The sequence below is a fragment of the Homo sapiens genome, chromosome 16 (genome assembly GCF_000001405.40).
Source record: "Homo sapiens chromosome 16, GRCh38.p14 Primary Assembly".
Classification (NCBI taxonomy): Eukaryota; Metazoa; Chordata; class Mammalia; order Primates; family Hominidae; genus Homo; species Homo sapiens.
Window position 1 is genome coordinate 68,209,360 of NC_000016.10, and position 16,326 is coordinate 68,225,685.

Here is a 16,326-nt window from a genome sequence, read left to right on the forward strand (position 1 = left end):
ACCGTCTCAAAGAAAAAGAGTTCTTTCCCTGCCACTGCTGAGTTGAGTGGAGGCAGAGGCTTGGGTGCATTCAAGATTCAGCTTCACCCGTAGACCACCACCATGGCCACGGAAGGTGTTGCTGCTGGAGGTGTGGTGGCTGTTAATACTGCTTTACAAGAGGTGTTGAAGACTGTCCTCACCCATGATGGCCTAGCACGTGGAATTTGCAAAGCTGCTGAAGGGTCAGGCCCATCTTTTGTGTGTTTGCATCCAACTGTGATGAGCCTATGTCAAGTTCATAGAGGTTCTTTGTGCTGAACACCAAATCAACCTACTTAAGGTTGATGACAAGAAGCTAGGGGGAATGGTTAGGTCTCTGTAAAATTGACAGAGAGGGGAAACCCCGTAAAGTGGTTCGTTGCAGTTGTGTAGTAGTTGAAGTACTTCAAATGCAAGAAATGAACGAATAAAACTCTGGCTAACCCCCCTGCCCCCCAACACACACACAGACACACACACACACACACTCACAGTCACACTCACTCTGGGCATGTTGGCTCAATCCTGTAGTCCTAGCACTTTGGGAGGCCGAGGTGGGCAGATTGCTCGAGCCCAAGAGTTCAAGACCAGCCTGGGCAACATGAAATCCCATCTCTGCTAAAAATACAAAAAATGGCCAGGTGCAGTGGCTCGCGCCTGTAATCCCAGCACTTTGGGAGGCCGAGGTGGGCGGATCACGAGGTCGGGACATTGAGACCATCCTGGCTAACACAGTGAAACTCCATCTCTACTGAAAATACAAAAAAATTAGCTGGGCATGGTGGCGGGCACCTGTAGTCCCAGCTACTCGGGAGGCTGAGGCAGGAGAATGGCGTGAACCCGGAAGGCGGAGCTTGCAGTGAGCCAAGATCATGCCACTGCGCTCCAGCCTGGGCGACAGAGTGAGATTCCTTCTCAAAAAAAAAAAAAGAAAAAAAAAAAGAATACAAAAAATTAGCCAGGTGCTGTGGTCCCAAATACTTGGGAAGCTGAAGTGGGAGGATTGCTTGAGCCTGGGAGGTAGAGGCTGCAGTGAGCCATTATTGTGCCACTGCACACCAGCCTTGGTGACAGAGTGACACCTTGTCTCAAAAAAAATAAAAGAATTTTTACAAACACTTTTCTGCATCTATCGAGATGATCATGTGGTTTTTAAATTAATTTTTGTAGAGGTAGGGTCTTGCCATGTTGCCCATGCCAGTCAGGAGTATGTTTTTTTTTCTTTTGTTCAACTAATTTGGCATATTACTTTAATTGATTTTCATTTGTTGAATCATCCTTGCATTCTGGGAATAAAACTCACTTGGTCTTAATGTATCATCCTTTTAATATGCTGCTGAATTGTGTTAGTGTTTTGTTGATTTTTGCATCTATATTCATAAAGAATATTCTGTAGTTTTTTTGTTTTTTTGTTTGTTTGAGATGGAGTCTTGCTCTGTCGCTCAGGCAGGAATGCAGTGGTGTGACCTCGGCTCACTGCAACCTCTGCCTCCCCAGTTCAAGCGATTCTTCTGCTTCAGCCTCCCGAGTAGCTGGGACTACAAGTGCGCACCACCATGCCCGGCTAATTTTTTTGTATTTTTAGTAGAGATGGGGTTTCACCATATTGGCCAGGCTGGTCTCGAACTCCTGACCTCGTGATCCACCCACCTTAGCCTCCCAGGTGTAAGCCACTGTGCCTAGCCTTTTCTTTTCTTATAGTATCTTTTTCTGGCTTTGTGTCAGAGTAAATTCTGGCCTCATAATGAGTTAGGAAGTGTTTCCTTTTCTTTAATCTTTTTAAGAGTTTCAAAAGAATCGAAACTCTTTTTTCTTTGTTTTGTTTTGAGATGGAGTCTCGCTCTGTCGCCAGGCTGGAGTGCAGTGGCGCGATCTCAGCTCACTGCAACCTCCACCTCCCGGGTTCACGCCATTCTCCTGCCTCAGCCTCTCGAGTAGCTGGGATTACAGGCACTCACCACTATGCCCAGCTAATTTTTGTATTTTTAGTAGAGACGGGGTTTCACCATGTTGGCCAGGATGGTTTCTATCTCCTGACCTTGTGATCCTCCCGCCTCGGCCTCCCAAAGTGCTGGGATTACAGGCGTGAGCCACTGTGCCCGGCTGAAACTCTTCTTCTGTAAATGTTTTTTGTTGTTGTTGTTGTTGTTGTTGTTGTTTGAGTCGGAGTCTCACCCTGTTGCCCAGTCTGGAGTGCAATGGCATGATCTCAGCTCACTGCAACTTCCGCCTCCCAGGTTCAAGCAATTCTCCTGCCTCAGCTTCCTGAGTAGCTGGGATTACAGGCATCTACCACACGCCCAGCTAATTTTTGTGTTTTTAGTAGAGACGGGGTTTCACCATGCTGGCCAGGCTGGTCTCGAACTCCTGACCTCAGGTGATCTACCCGCCTTGGCCTCCCAAAGTGCTGGGATTACAGGCATGAGGCACCGTGCCCGGCACACTTTTGTAAATGTTTGGTCAAAGTTCTTGTGATCAGGAGAGATGAATGAGGTATATTTTGGAGCTCACGAAAGTGCTTCAAGGAACTAGAAGGATTTCTGGAGCACTGCAAGTTTCTGTAAAGCACAATCTGAAAGTACCACTGAATTCATCCACTCACAAAAGCTCCCATAGTGTGTGTTGGCCTCTTGCTTTGTTCCTGGGATGCTTTCTTATGATTTTTATGCTGCTGTACCTGTAATCACATGTTCTATACCTTCAAGTCTGTTTTGGAGGATTCAGTTGTGGAGATTGGGAACCCCCAGAAAGAGTATTTTGATATTTTCAGTATTTAAAATACTTTGCACACACTGTAATCTTTAAATCACCTCTGAAAACTAGGTGAGTGATCTCAAATAATAAACAAGCTTAAGTCAGAAAAATTTTGCTTAACCAAAGGATTTCTGGATTTTGTTTTGTTTTGACCCCTATAGTGAGGGTGCATTTTGTACAGATTGACTCTTCCTTTGTTTTTCTTTTTTTATCTGCTTAAAAGGAAGGTATTAGTTAGTGTTCATAGAGACTACATGCAGATTTTTCCCTTCTAAGTAGGTTAGGTCCTTTTACTTGAAGTTGTACAACAGAGGCCAAGAATAATTCCTTATAGGCAAAAAGATGAGAGTTGTTGTTGTTGTTGTTGTTTGAGTCGGAGTCTCACTATTTCGTTATTGTGTTTTTGACTCTTGGGGCATCTGAATGCTTTAGCCAGTACTGCAAAACTGACCAGTGGTGACTCTTCTTTTGTGCAGTGACTTTCAAACATTTTTGACAGCTTCCTACAATAAAATACAAGGATTATGTTGTGACCCAGTACACAAAAAATACATACATATACAACTAATGTTAAAGTCTCACAAACCAATTCTTAACCTTTATTAGAGGGAATGCAGCCTGCTATCTTCTATTTTGTTCTATTTCTTTCTCTTTTTTTTTTTTTTTTTTTTTTGAGATGGAGTCTCACTCTGTTGCCCAGGCTGAAGTGCAGTGGCGTGATCTTGGCTCACTGCAAGCTCTACCTCCCAGGTTCACGCCATTCTTCTGCCTCAGCCTCCCAAGTAGCTGGGACTACAGGCGCCCGCCACCACGCCTGGCTGATTTTTTTTTTTTTTTTGTATTTTTAGTAGAGACAGGGTTTCACCGTGTTAGCCAGGATGGTCTCGGTGTCCTCACCTCATGATCCACCCGCCTCAGCCTCCCAAAGTGCTGGGATTACAGGTGTGAGCCACCATGCCCGGCCTGTTTCTTTCTCTTCTTTAAAATACTAGTTTCAGGGGCCGGGTGCAGTGGCTCACGCCTATAATCCCAGCACTTTGGGAGGCCGAGGTGGGTGGATCACAAGGTCAGGAGATCAAGACCATCCTGGCTAAGAAGGTGAAACCCTGTCTCTACTAAAAATACAAAAAATTAGCCGGGCGTGGTGGCGGGCACCTGTGGTCCCAGGTACTCAGGAGGCTGAGGCAGGAGAATGGCGTGAACTCAGGAGGTGGAGCTTGCAGCGAGCCAAGATGGTGCCACTGCACTCCAGCCTGGGCGACAGAGCAAGACTCTGTCTCAAAAAATAAATAAATAAATAAATAAAAATTAAAAAAAATAAAAATTAAAAAAAAAATACTAGTTTCAACTTGCTGAATTGATTTCATAAATTTCTAATGGATGTGAACTTTAGTTTAAAAAATACTCCTCCAGGCGGGCATGGTGGCTTACGCCTGTAATCCTAGCACTTTGGGAGGCCTAGGCGGGCGGATAACCTGAGGCCAGGAGTTTGAGACCCACCTGGCCAACATGGTTGAAACCCCATCTCTACTAAAAATACAAAAAGTAGCCAGGCATGGTGGTGAGTGCCTGTAGTCCCAGCTACTAGGGAGGCTGAGGCAGGAGAATCACTTGAACCTGGGAGGCAGAGGTTGCAGTGGGCAGAGATTGTGCCACTGCACTCCAGCCTGGGTGACAGAGTGAGACTCCATCTCAAAAAAAATACTCTTCCATGACTCCCAGATTTGGCTGTACATATAGTTTTCTGGGCTGCTACCCTTGAAGATTTTGATTTTGTGGTTTGAGTTTGTATTTTTATAAAACATTCAGGAGTTTATATTTTTATCAGTTGCCCAGATAATTTTGATGTAGCCTTAGCCAAGTATTTGGGAACTACTAATAGATATAATGTAATAAAAACTAGTTTATTTAAAGCTGAATTTATCCCTTAAAACCACTGAAAACCATAATTGTAACTCTTAAAGTTATTGCCCTTCAAATTTTTAAAAGAATCATCTTAGTACCTGAGCTATCTGAACTCCAGTATTTATTTTATCTAATAAAATGTGGAGAGCCATTTTATGCAGTGATTGACAAGTAAAAGACAGTTAAATTCCTTTTGATTATAGAAAAAAAACAGGCTGGGCACTGTAGTAGATTAAGTTCACCCTCTGGTTTGTTCCATTCAGTAGTGATGTTGTCTTCTTTGACACAGACCAATTTATATCTGACTTGGAACACCAGCCATCAGGTTCAGCAGAGAAATGGCCTAACCACAGTGTGCTCTCATGTCCAGCTCCTTTCTGGAGAATCTAGAGGGTGAGTGTTGATTGAAATGTGTCATTGTTTTTGTGCCCAAGTCTGGTATTTGCATGCAGTGGCTGGATTTGCATGTGCTACAGAGGAGGGGGTATGCACGGGCATTTTCTGGTAGGCCCACTCATTATCTTTGGAACTACACTTTGACTAAAAGACTCTGCTTTTTAAACTTAACCACACTCAGGCTCTTACACTTGTGCTTATGATTTTATTCTTGAATGAAAGGGAAGTGTTTACTTAGATTTATTAGACCAAAGCAGAAAGAGGTTTCGTATCTATGAATTCTATATGGTTTGGGTTGCTCAGTAAATTTGGTTGCTGATCAGGTATGTAAGCCTACTCATTCCTGGTCAAGTACTCTTAACTTTTGATGTGAATGAAATCAGGAAATTTTGTCCGTTTTTCAGAGGCAACCCAGAATATTTATCCCTAGCCTCCCCTGTGGGCCCATGTTTGCACTTCCGGTAGTCCTCTGGGGCTCTACTTGGAAGAAAGCTGTAGTACTAGAGCCAGTGTCTGTGTCTAGGCTTAGGCTTCTAGACTCAGCAGCCAAGGAGGAACGAAGCTGTTCCTTGCTGTCATGTTGGCTCCTTTCTTCAAATACTATGAAAGCCACTTAAGAAAATATATGATAGAAATTATAAATACACAGATTATACCTTCCTAAATGCCATTTGAATTTTATTTTAAAATGAATCTGGATTTGGAAGGGGCCTTGGAAATCATGTTCACTACCCAAACCTTTATATTTAGGTTTCTGCAGCTTCCTGATGACCTATCAGACAAGATACCAAAACCCTAACTTCTCCCAGAACTGGGCCTACCCTGGTCTCACATCATTCTTGTCCAACCATGAGAGGAGTGGTGACTTAATTCCTGCATTGAATGTATATAAAACTCTCAGGAGAGTTATAACCAGAGGATTTAAAATAATTTCCTCATATTAGGGGTGAGAAAATAAGTTGCAGAAGGATTAGTTAAGTCACCTGAGTCACATCACAGCCAAACCAAGGCTAAAGCTTACTTCTTCCAGTGTTAAGCCCAGTGTGCTTCCCATGTGTGAAGCAACAAGTTGGTCACTAATGATCTTGGTAAGAAGGAAGTATTATGTGGAGTGAAGGGATCGATGGATGACTGAGTAAATAAGAGGTGAGAACATAGAAGAAACAGCAGTGTAGACAACTCCTTTAAGATGTTAAGCCATGAAAGAAAGAATTAGATACAGAGGGGAACATGGGGTTGAGTGTTTTTATTTGCTTGCTTGCTTCTTTGAGATAGAGAGATTTGCACTTTTTTTTTTTTTTTTTTTTTTTGAGATGGAGTCTTGCTCTGCCACCCAGGCTGGAGTGCAGTGGTGCGATCTCCGCTCACTGCACGCTCCGCCTCCCAGGTTGACGCCATTCTCCTGCCTTAGCCTCCCGAGTAGCTGGGACTACAAGGCGCCTGCCACCACGCCCGGCTAATTTTTTGTATTTTTAGTAGAGATGGGGTTTCACTGTGTTAGCCAGGATGGTCTCGATGTCCTGACCTCGTGATCCGCCCACCTTGGCCTCCCAAAGTGCTGGGATGACAGGCATGAGCCACCGCGCTGGCCCAGATTTACACATATTAAGTGCTGATGAGAAGGATCTGGGGAGACAAGTTGATAGAGACAAAGAAGTGAAGAAAATTGATGCCGCAAGGTGTTGAAGAGGTTCCAGAGCACAGGTAGTGGAATGGGTCCTGTGGATTTTTGGGTCTGGAGCTCAGGTTTGGCCCTTAGAGATAGATTTGGGAGTCAACAATGGACAAGATTATTCAGAGGAAAATGTACAAAATGAGCAAAATAGGGATAAAGGATTCTTCTGATAATTTTAAAATGCTTCTGAGTCTCACATCTTAAGCCAAATTGAGAGAAGTTGTTTATTTTTTTCACATTTCAGCTTTTGCTGATAGAAAAGAGTACATGCTGATACTTGAATATACTTTCAAGTACCTGTGTACTGTTTACTCAGCTGGAGATTTAATGTTTGTCTTTGTAGAATGTTTTCAGTTAAAAACATTTCCTAGAGGAAACATTGTTATGACGTTGATTATAGCATCACACATAGAAGAGGTTTTCTTTTTTTTTTTTCTTTTTGAGACAGTCTCGCTCTGTTGCCTAGGCTGGAGTGCATTGGCATCATACTGGCTCACTGCAACCTCCGCCTCCCAGGTTCAAACAATTCTCCTTCCTCAGCCTCCCAAGTAGCTGAAATTACAGGCACCTGCCACCACACCTGGCTAATATTTTGTATTTTTAGTAGAGATGGGATTTCACCGTGTTGGCCAGGCTGGTTTTGAACGCCTGACCTCAAGCGATCCGCCAACCTTGGCCTCTCAAAGTGCTAGGATTACAGGTGTGAGCCACTACACCCGGCCAAGAAGAGGTTTCTTAAAAAGGAAGGAGTCTTAAGAGGACTGATTTTCCCCCTCAATCCGTTGGGTGGGGAAAAAAGGTATAATAATTTTTCTTTACTAGTATTAGAGCTAATGTTAAAAGTGAATCTCTGATCTATTGCTGGTGAAATTTTTTTATATTAAAAAAGTGAAGGATATCTTCAAATCGTGCATGTATTTTTAATCTGTTCAATGGTAGGAAGCTGTCTGGAATTCAGGGTGAAATTTGAGATAACTTAGTTAAAAATCTATCAGTCCACCCCATTGTATAAGGTAAAAAGAAGAAAAAAAATAATTAGGCTTGGATTCAGTAGGTCATGCCTGTAATCCCAACACTTTGGGAGGCCGAGGTAGGCAGATTGCTTGAGCCCAGGAGTTTGAGACCAGCCTGGGCAACATGGCGAAACCTTGTCTTTACAAAAAATACAAAAATTAGCTGGGCATGGTGGCTCATGCCTATAGTCCCAGCTACTCGGGAGGCTGAGGCAGGAGGCTCCCTTGAGCATGGGAGGTGAGGTTGCAGTGAGCCAAGATCACGCCACTGCACTCCAGCTTTCAAGATCATGCCACTGCACTCCAGCCTGGGCAACAGAGCAAGATCTAGTCTCTGTCTCAAAAAAAAAAAAAAAAAAAAAAAAAATCTGGCATGAAAGAGCTCAAGCTGGTTTTCTTGCTTACAGTACTTAAATATTCTTCCTGTGTTATAATTATGGTGGTAAGTTTTATTTTTGTTAATAGTATTAGCTAAGTGAGTATAATGGAGATCCCAGAGACATTTCCACATAGGAAATTTCTCTCACACCTCATGATAATTCAGAGATCAAGATTCCTTTCAATTTGTTGTTCCTCTTTCTCCTTAGGTTTTGTCAAAGCAGAGAAACCACTTAGTCATGACTGAGTCTTAGCCCGAGGAAGGGATGGGAAAAAGGGAGGAAGAAGGAGGCCAAGCAAGTGATGAGGAAGATACGTACATCGCTTTTGCTCACATTTCATTGAAGAAAACGAATTGCATGGGCCATACCTAGCTACACTGGGGAAGCCAGGAAATATACTCTGTAGCTGGGTGTCAGTGTGACTAACTAAACCTCGATTACTGTGGAAGAATGAATTAAGATAATTAGCAGCCTACCATAGATACCTTCTAAATTTTCAGGAACTTATTTCTGTCTGTAGCTTGAAAAATCAAATGAATATTTTTTGGTTTTTCCCTTTTTTTTGTTTTATTTGGAGACAGGGTCTCACACTGTTGCCTAGGCTGGAGTGCAGTGGTGCACGATCATAGCTTACTGCATCCTGGAACTCCCTGGGCTCAAGTGATCCTCTTGTCTCAACCTCCCAAAGTGCTGGGATTACAAGCATGACCCACCACACCTGGCCAAATTAATCAGATTTTGATAAATCCAAATTAATTTCTCAACTCATGCCATAAATAGGTGAATTCAGGCCAGGCATGGTGGCTCATGCCTGTTATCCCAGCACTTTGGAAGGCCGAGGCAGACAGATCACTTGAGTTCAGGAGTTTGAGACCAGCCTGGGCAACATGGCAAACCCTGTTTCTACCAAAAATTTAAGAAAAAATTGGCCAGGTTTGGTGCTGTGCAGGTTGCAGTGAGCCAAGATCGTGCCACTGCACTCCAGCCTGGGCGACAGAATGAGAGCCTCTCAAAAAAAAAAAAAAAAAAAGGTGAATTCAGTATTTTTTCCTGTATTTAGTTTAGATGGTGCTTTTTTTTTTTATTTTGAGACAGAGTCTCACTCTGTCACCCAGGCTGGAGTGCAGTGTGCGATCTTGGCTCACTGCAAGCTCTGCCTCATGGGTTCACTCCATTCTCCTGCCTCAGCCTCCTGAGTAGCTGGGACTACAGGTGCCTGCCGCCACGCCCAGCTAATTTTTTGTATTTTTAATAGAGACGGGGTTTCACCATGTTAGCCAGGATGGTCCCAATCTCCTGACCTCATGATCCGCCCGCCTCGGCCTCCCAAAGTGCTGAGATTACAGGCGTGAGCCACCACGCCCGGCCTAGATGGTGCTTTTATAATAATTGCATACATGTAGGCTTCATTTTTAAAATACATTTAGTCTTTATTTTATAAAAACAACATCTCGGCTGGGCACGGTGATTCATGCCTGTAATGCCAGCGCTTTAGGAGGCCGAGGCGAGGTAGAAGGATCAATTGAGGCCAGAAGTTCGAGACCAGCCTGGGCAACATAATAAGACCCTGTCTCTATCCTCCCCAAAAATAAATCAGCTGGACCAGGCGCGGTGGCTCACGCCTGTAATCCCAGCACTTTGGGAGGCTGAAGCGGGCAGATCACAAGGTCAGGAGTTTGAGACCAGCCTGAACATGGTGAAACCCCGCCTCTACTAAAATACAAAAAAAATTAGCTGGGCATGGTGGCAGGTACCTGTAATCCCAGCTACTTGGGAGGCTGGGGCAGGAGAATTGCTTGAACCCGGGAGGCGGAGGTTGCGGTGAGCTGAGATCATGCCACTGCACTCCAGCCTAGGTGACAGAGCAAGACTCTGTCTCAAAAAAAATAAATAAAAATAAAAAAATAAATTAGCTGGTCTTGGTGGCACATGCCTGTAGTCCCAGCTACTTGGGGCAGGGCTCTGAAGCGGGAGGATCGCTTGAGCCTAGGAGTTCACGGCTGTAGTGAGCTATGATCACACCACTTCACTCCAGCCTGGGTGGCAGACTAAGACACTGTCTCCTAAAATAATAATAGTAATAATAATAATAATAACACCTTCATAAAATTGTTTACCCAGGGGATGAATACCTTTAATCTTCAGGTTCAGGAAAAGAATAACATGACCAAACTTTGGTGAATGTTCATTGCAGCTTCAAGAGGAAATAACATATAAATGGAGTCTAAAAATACCCCGAAATCCTTTACAAAATTGCAAATTAGAAAGGCCCGTTGGGATTTTGTGTATATGGCAGTGTGTATCTACTCCCTTCAAAGAGGGAGCACACTGGGTTACCCTGCCCCTCTCTACCTGGTTGTGAGGTTCCATACTATATACTTGTCAGTTCTAACTTTGAATTCTTAAGCATGGGAAATAGCTCTAAATAAGAGTCCTATTGGTACTCAAGCACCTCATTCTTGTGTGTAGAAATAGCATTCCAGTGGACTGCCAATTTGAACATTTCTTGAATACGAACTTTTTCTCTTACAGCAAACATTATTGATAGCTGTGACTCTACTTTTGTTGTGGTGGCACAGGCAAATTCAGGTGTTGGGGTAGTGGAAGTCACAGATGGTGGCTGCCAAAAGTGTGCCAGATCCTGTGACCTACATAACCTGTTAGCACCCTTATTGAGGACTGTTCACTCTTGTTCTAGGCTTTTAATTCACTTTGCTCTTTAAAGGGAGGAAAATGAGGGCTGGGTGCGGTGACTCACGCCTGTAATCCCAGCATTTTGAGAGGCCGAGGTGGCCAGATCATGTGAGGTCAGGAGTTTGAGACCAACCTGGCCAACATGGCAGAAACCTCGTTTCTACCAAAAATACAAAAATTAGCTGGGTGGGAGGCAGCAGTTGCAGTGAGCCAAGACCACACCACTGCACTCTAGCCTGGGTGACAGAGTAAGACTCTATCTCAAAAAAATTGGGGGGAAGAAAAATGATAAAATTGTACATTAGGGGCATAAACAATTCCTTATACTCTTATCTTAAATTGGTGAAAAAAATAGGAAACCACCTCACATACTTAGTGGACTAGAGTTTATTTTTCCTTTTTTTTTTTTTTAAGAGACAAATTGTCCCGGCCGGGCAGGGTGGCTCACGCCTGTAATCCCGGCACTTTGGGAGGTCGAGGCAGGTGGATCACGAGGTCAGGAGATCGACACCATCCTGGCTAACACGGTGAAACCCCGTCTCTACTAAAAAAAAAAATACAAAAAAAAAAAAATAGCCAGGCATTGTGGCGGGCGCCTATAGTCCCAGCTACTCGGGAGGCTGAGACAAGAGAATGGCGTGAACTTGGGAGGCGGAGCTTGCAGTGAGCTGAGATTGCGCCACCGCACTCCAGCCTGGGAGACAGAGGGAGACTCTGTCTCAGAAAAAAAAAAAAAATTGTCACTTTGTTTGTTGGCCAGGCTCTTCTTGAACTCCTGGCCTCAAACAATCTTCCTGCCTTGGCTTCCCCTAGTGTTGGGATAACAGGCATGAGCCATGGCACCTGGCCTGGATTACAGTTTAAATAAATTAGCAAATTCATGCATATATCCATTCAAGATGACTTGAAAAATTAAATTGCAAGCATTAGTATTTTTAACAACTTAAAAATTGTGCTTATCAAGATTGCTAATGACTTACATTTACATTACATCATAGATTTGTTTACCAGTAATAATTTTGACTTGCTTCAGTTGAGACCTACGTTTTGGCCAGTCCCAGCAGGAAGATATCTGAGGAATCTAGAGGTGAGAGCCTGAACCCAGAGCCCCCAGCCCGAGGGAGAAGTGAGGGAGAAGGAAAGCAGAGGACTTGCATGATTAACACTCGGCTCAAGTTATTGCTAAAGGTCTGTGAAAGCACTTTGTTGCAGTTCTGACTCCCTAGCCTAAAATTTATATTCAGTGCTCACCTGTAGCAATTACTTGAGCATGATTTTTGTTGTCATTGTTCCAAGTCCCCAAATTGTTTTAAAGATTCAGTTGGCAAGTAATTTTATTTAGTACTCAATATATGTAAGCACTAGGGATTCAGGGGAAAACAAGATAGAGAAAGTCTGCCCCGTTGGAACTTAAATCTCCTGACTGCTGGTGAATTCATAAATAAGTGAATCCTGTAGTATAATGTATAGTTGAGTATAGTCCGCTTGAGCACTACTTTGTGGAAAATCTTCTGACTTTAACATAGTCTTAAAATCCTAAACTGTCAGGAACTTTCCAGGTTCCTTCAGCTAAGTAAGGTGAGGCACACCAGGCAAAGGAACAGCAGAGCTTTGGCAAGGGGGAGCAGAAATAACACAGCATTGAGCAGGCTTCCATTATAATCAATACCACATATCTACTTTAGAAAATGATGGTTTCATCCTTATATAAGTGTACTTGGTAAGTGGATGGACAGTGCCAGATATGGACCCTCATCGTCAGGAAAATAGAAGCATTGACTTCTTATAAGATATAGAAGAACAACACCTCGGCTGGGTGCAGTGGGTCACGCCTGTAATCCTAGTACTTTAGGAGGCTGAGGCAGGAGGATCACTTGAGTCCAGGAGTTTGAGACTAGCTTGGGCAACATGGTGAGACCTCATCTCTGCAGAAAGAAAAAAAAAATCCAAAAATTAGAAAGGCATAGGCGTAGTAGCACATGCCTGTAGGCCCAGCTACTCAGGAGGCTTAGGTGGGAAGATCAAGGCTGCAGTGAGCCGTGATTGTGCCACCTGCATTCCAGCCTGGGCAACAGAGTGAGACCCCATTGCCAAAAAAAAAAAAAAAAAAAAAAAAAAAAAAAAAAAAATAGAAAAAAGAAAAAAAAGAGAGAAAACACGTCATGTGGTTTTTGATGATAAAACACCATTTAAAATCCGTTTGTAGTTTTAAAACTTGAACAGTGAAATACAAATTGTTAAAAGTGTTTTTCATAGCAGCCTGGAACATCTTTGAAATTATTGCCTTTGGAAGTGATAAATGATAAGAAAAGATGATTTGATTGTGAGCCAGGTGCTTGCTTATATATTTGGCTTTTTGCCACTGCTGTAACGCCTGCCTAAAATACACACTGTGAAAATCAAATAACATGCATTAGTCTTAACATACTCTGGTCCCCTTCCTACCTACCACCTAATGAACTTTCACTGTGCTTGTTCTAAATAGCTTCCAAGTGATTGTATTGAATTAGGGTCCATTTATTTAGTCATCAGGAATGGGTGTTTCCTCAGTGGCAAGGTTCTTGCCTTTTGGGAGTTCATAGCCTATTTGGGAGACATAATGATGATGCCTGATGATAATCTAATATGAAGAGGAGGCATGTTAGAAGTCACGCACAGAGATTTGTGGGCCATCCTTGTGCTCCCTCTTAGCACAAGACTAGCTCGTAGAACCCCCAGAACCTGCACAGAAAACACTCTTCCTTATATTTTTTGTGACTTGAAATAACAGGTGCCAAGGGCTGCCTTGCGTTCTTATGCCCACTTTATATTCCCTCTCTATGTACTGTATAAGAGGTATTTCTCTTCTCCATTGTACTGATGGGGAAACTGAAGAGAAAAATATATTCTTATGCAAAGCATCCTCACAACTTTTCATTTACAAAGAAACTATTCCAGTGAGTTATTTTTAGAAAGTCAGGAGTAAGTTTAGTTTATATTCCATTATTCTTTGCAGCATCCATTATGAATGGTTAATAAATCCTAGCCTGGCAAATTTACTTAAATATCATCTGACAGGTCAGGCACAATGGCTCATGCCTGTAATCCCAGCACTGTGGGAGGATTGCTTGAGGCCAGGAGTTAGAGATCAGCTTTGGCAACATAGCAAGACCCTATCTCTACAAAAAAAATTTTAAAATCAGCCAGGTGTGGTAGTGTGTGCCTATAGTCCCAGTTATTAGGTTGGTGCAGAAGTAATCACGGTTCTTGCCATTAGAAGTAATGCCAAAAACCACAATTACTTTTATACCAACCAAATACTTTGGAGGCTAAGGTGGGAGAATGGCTTGAGCCCAGGAGTTCAAGTTTGAACCATGATTGCACCACTGCACTCCGGTCTGGGTAACAGAGCGAGACCCTGTCTCTTAAAAAACAAAACACCAGGCGTGGTGGCTCACACCTGTAATCCCAGCACTTTGGGAGGCTGAGGCAGGTGGATCATGAGGTCAGGAGTTCAAGACCAGCCTGGCCAAGATGGTGAAACCCTGTCTCTACTAAAAATACAAAAATTAGCCGGGCACGATGGCGGGCACCTGTAATCCTAGCTACTTGGGAGGCTGAGGCAGGAGAACCACTTGAACCCGGGAGACGGAGGTTGCAGTGAGCCAAGATTGTGCCGCTGCACTCTAGCCTCGGTGACAGAGCAAGACTCCATCTCAAAAAAAAAAAAAAAAAAAAATCTGACAAAGTACTTTATTAATCTATACCTTAAAAAATTGCTTATCACTGGCCAGGCGCGGGGGCTCATGCCTGTAATCCCAGCACTTCAGGAGGCCGAGGTGGGTGGATCATGAGGACAGGAGATCGAGACCGTCCTGGCTAACATGGTGAAACCCCGTCTCTACTAAAAATACAAAAAATTAGCCGGACACGGTGGCATGCACCAGTTTAAAAAAAAAAAAAAAAAAAAGCTTATCACTTAGTAGTTATTAGCTCACCAGTATTGATTAATCTTCACTGTTTTGCAGAGTCCTTTGGCTTCAAGTCCCTACTTCTTTACTATTCTATGTTCAGTACTAACCACAGCTAAGCCAAATCTTTTTTTTTTTTTTTTTTTTGAGACAGAGTCTCACTCTGTTGCCCAGGCTGGAGTGCAGTGGCACGATCTTGGCTCACTGCAACCTCCACCCGCCGGGTTCAAGCAATTCTCCTGCCTCAGCCTCCTGAGTAGCTGGGATTACCGTTGCCTGCCACCGTGCCTGGCTAATTTTTGTATTTTTAGTAGAGACAGGTTTTCACCATCTTGGCCAGGCTGGTCTTGAACTCCTGACCTTGTGATCCACCCGCCTTGGCCTCCCAGAGTGCTGGGTTTATAGGCATGAGCCACCGCGCCTGGCTTTTTTTTTTTTTTTTTTTTTTGAGATGGAGTCTTGCTCTGTCTCCCTGGCTGGGCTGCAGTGGCACAATCTCGGCTCACTGCAACCTCCACATTCCAGGTTCAAGCAACTGAATTAGTAAATATTAGTTCCTTCTCCTTATAGCCATATGAGTTTGAGAAATTTTTGTTCCGAACTGTGTAAACCAGAAAAAGATTAGATGTTAATACTTGGAAGATTTTTAAAATCTTTTTGTTTTGGTCTGTTTTTGTTTATAACAGCTGTAATGAGATATAATTCACATACCATAAAATTTATCCTTAAAAGTATACAACTCAGTGGTTTTTAGTATAGTCAGAGTTTTGCAACTATTACTAGTATCTATTTTTATATTGATTGATTGATTGATTGATTTTTTGAGACAGAGTCTCACTCTTGTTTCCCAGGCTGGAGTGCATGGTGCAATCTCGGCTCACCGCAACCTCCGCCTCCCAGGTTCAAGTGATTCTCCTGCCTCACCCTCCCGAGTAGCTGGGATTACAGGCATGTGCCACCATGCCTGGCTAATTTTGTATTTTTAGTAGAGATGGTGTTTCTCCATATTGGTCAGGCTGGTCTCAAACTCCCGACCTCAGGTGATCCGCCTGCCTCAGCCTCCCAAAATGCTGAGATTACAGGCATGAGCCACTGCGCCTGGCTACTAATATCTAATTTTATAACTCCATTACTCTGAAAAGAAACTCCATACTCATTAGTAATTCCTCCCTGTTTCTCCCTCTCTACAACCTGTAATCTATTTTCTGTCTCTATGGATTGGCCTGTTCTGGACATTTCATATAAATGGAATCATATATGACCTTTTATTGTCTGGCCTATTTCACTTAGCAGACTGTTTTCAAGGCTCATCCATGTTGTAGCATGTATCAGAACTTCATTACATCTCAAGGCTGTATATTCCATTTTATGGATAGAGACAACTTACGTTTATCCATTCATCACTTGGTAGACATTTGGATTGTTTCCACTTTTTGGCTATTATTAATAATGCTGCTGTGAACATTTGAAAGTTTTTCATGTGGACATATGTTTTCACTTCTCTTGTAAATATGCCTAGGAGTGGAATTAGCATAGAC

The 16,326-nt window shown here is 43.1% G+C and overlaps 1 protein-coding gene and 1 pseudogene across 3 annotated transcripts in view, besides 1 other annotated feature; both read left to right on the top strand.

The window, feature by feature from the left end:
• NFATC3 (nuclear factor of activated T cells 3) overlaps window positions 1–16,326 on the top strand; it is a 143,890-nt gene that overhangs the window by 123,990 nt on the left and 3,574 nt on the right. Inside the window, exon 10 of one of the 3 annotated variants that reach the window (NM_004555.4) lies at window positions 4,970–5,073. The exons of 1 other annotated variant lie outside the window; for it this stretch is intronic. In NM_004555.4, coding sequence (NP_004546.1) covers window positions 4,970–5,070 — 101 coding nt within the window. In that variant the 3' untranslated portion in view covers window positions 5,071–5,073. Of the gene's footprint in view, window positions 1–4,969; window positions 5,074–11,836; window positions 11,926–16,326 lie in introns of all 3 variants that reach the window. One more of the 3 variants, NM_173163.3, reaches the window with a different exon arrangement.
• On the top strand, window positions 22–465 carry RPS12P27 (ribosomal protein S12 pseudogene 27; annotated as a pseudogene).
• Window positions 1,785–1,854: an enhancer, noted in NCBI's record as "active region_11007". NCBI's record gives its function as "activates an Ori minimal core promoter by ATAC-STARR-seq in GM12878 lymphoblastoid cells {active_cell/tissue: GM12878}" and the evidence as "EXISTENCE:reporter gene assay evidence [ECO:0000049][PMID:35858748]".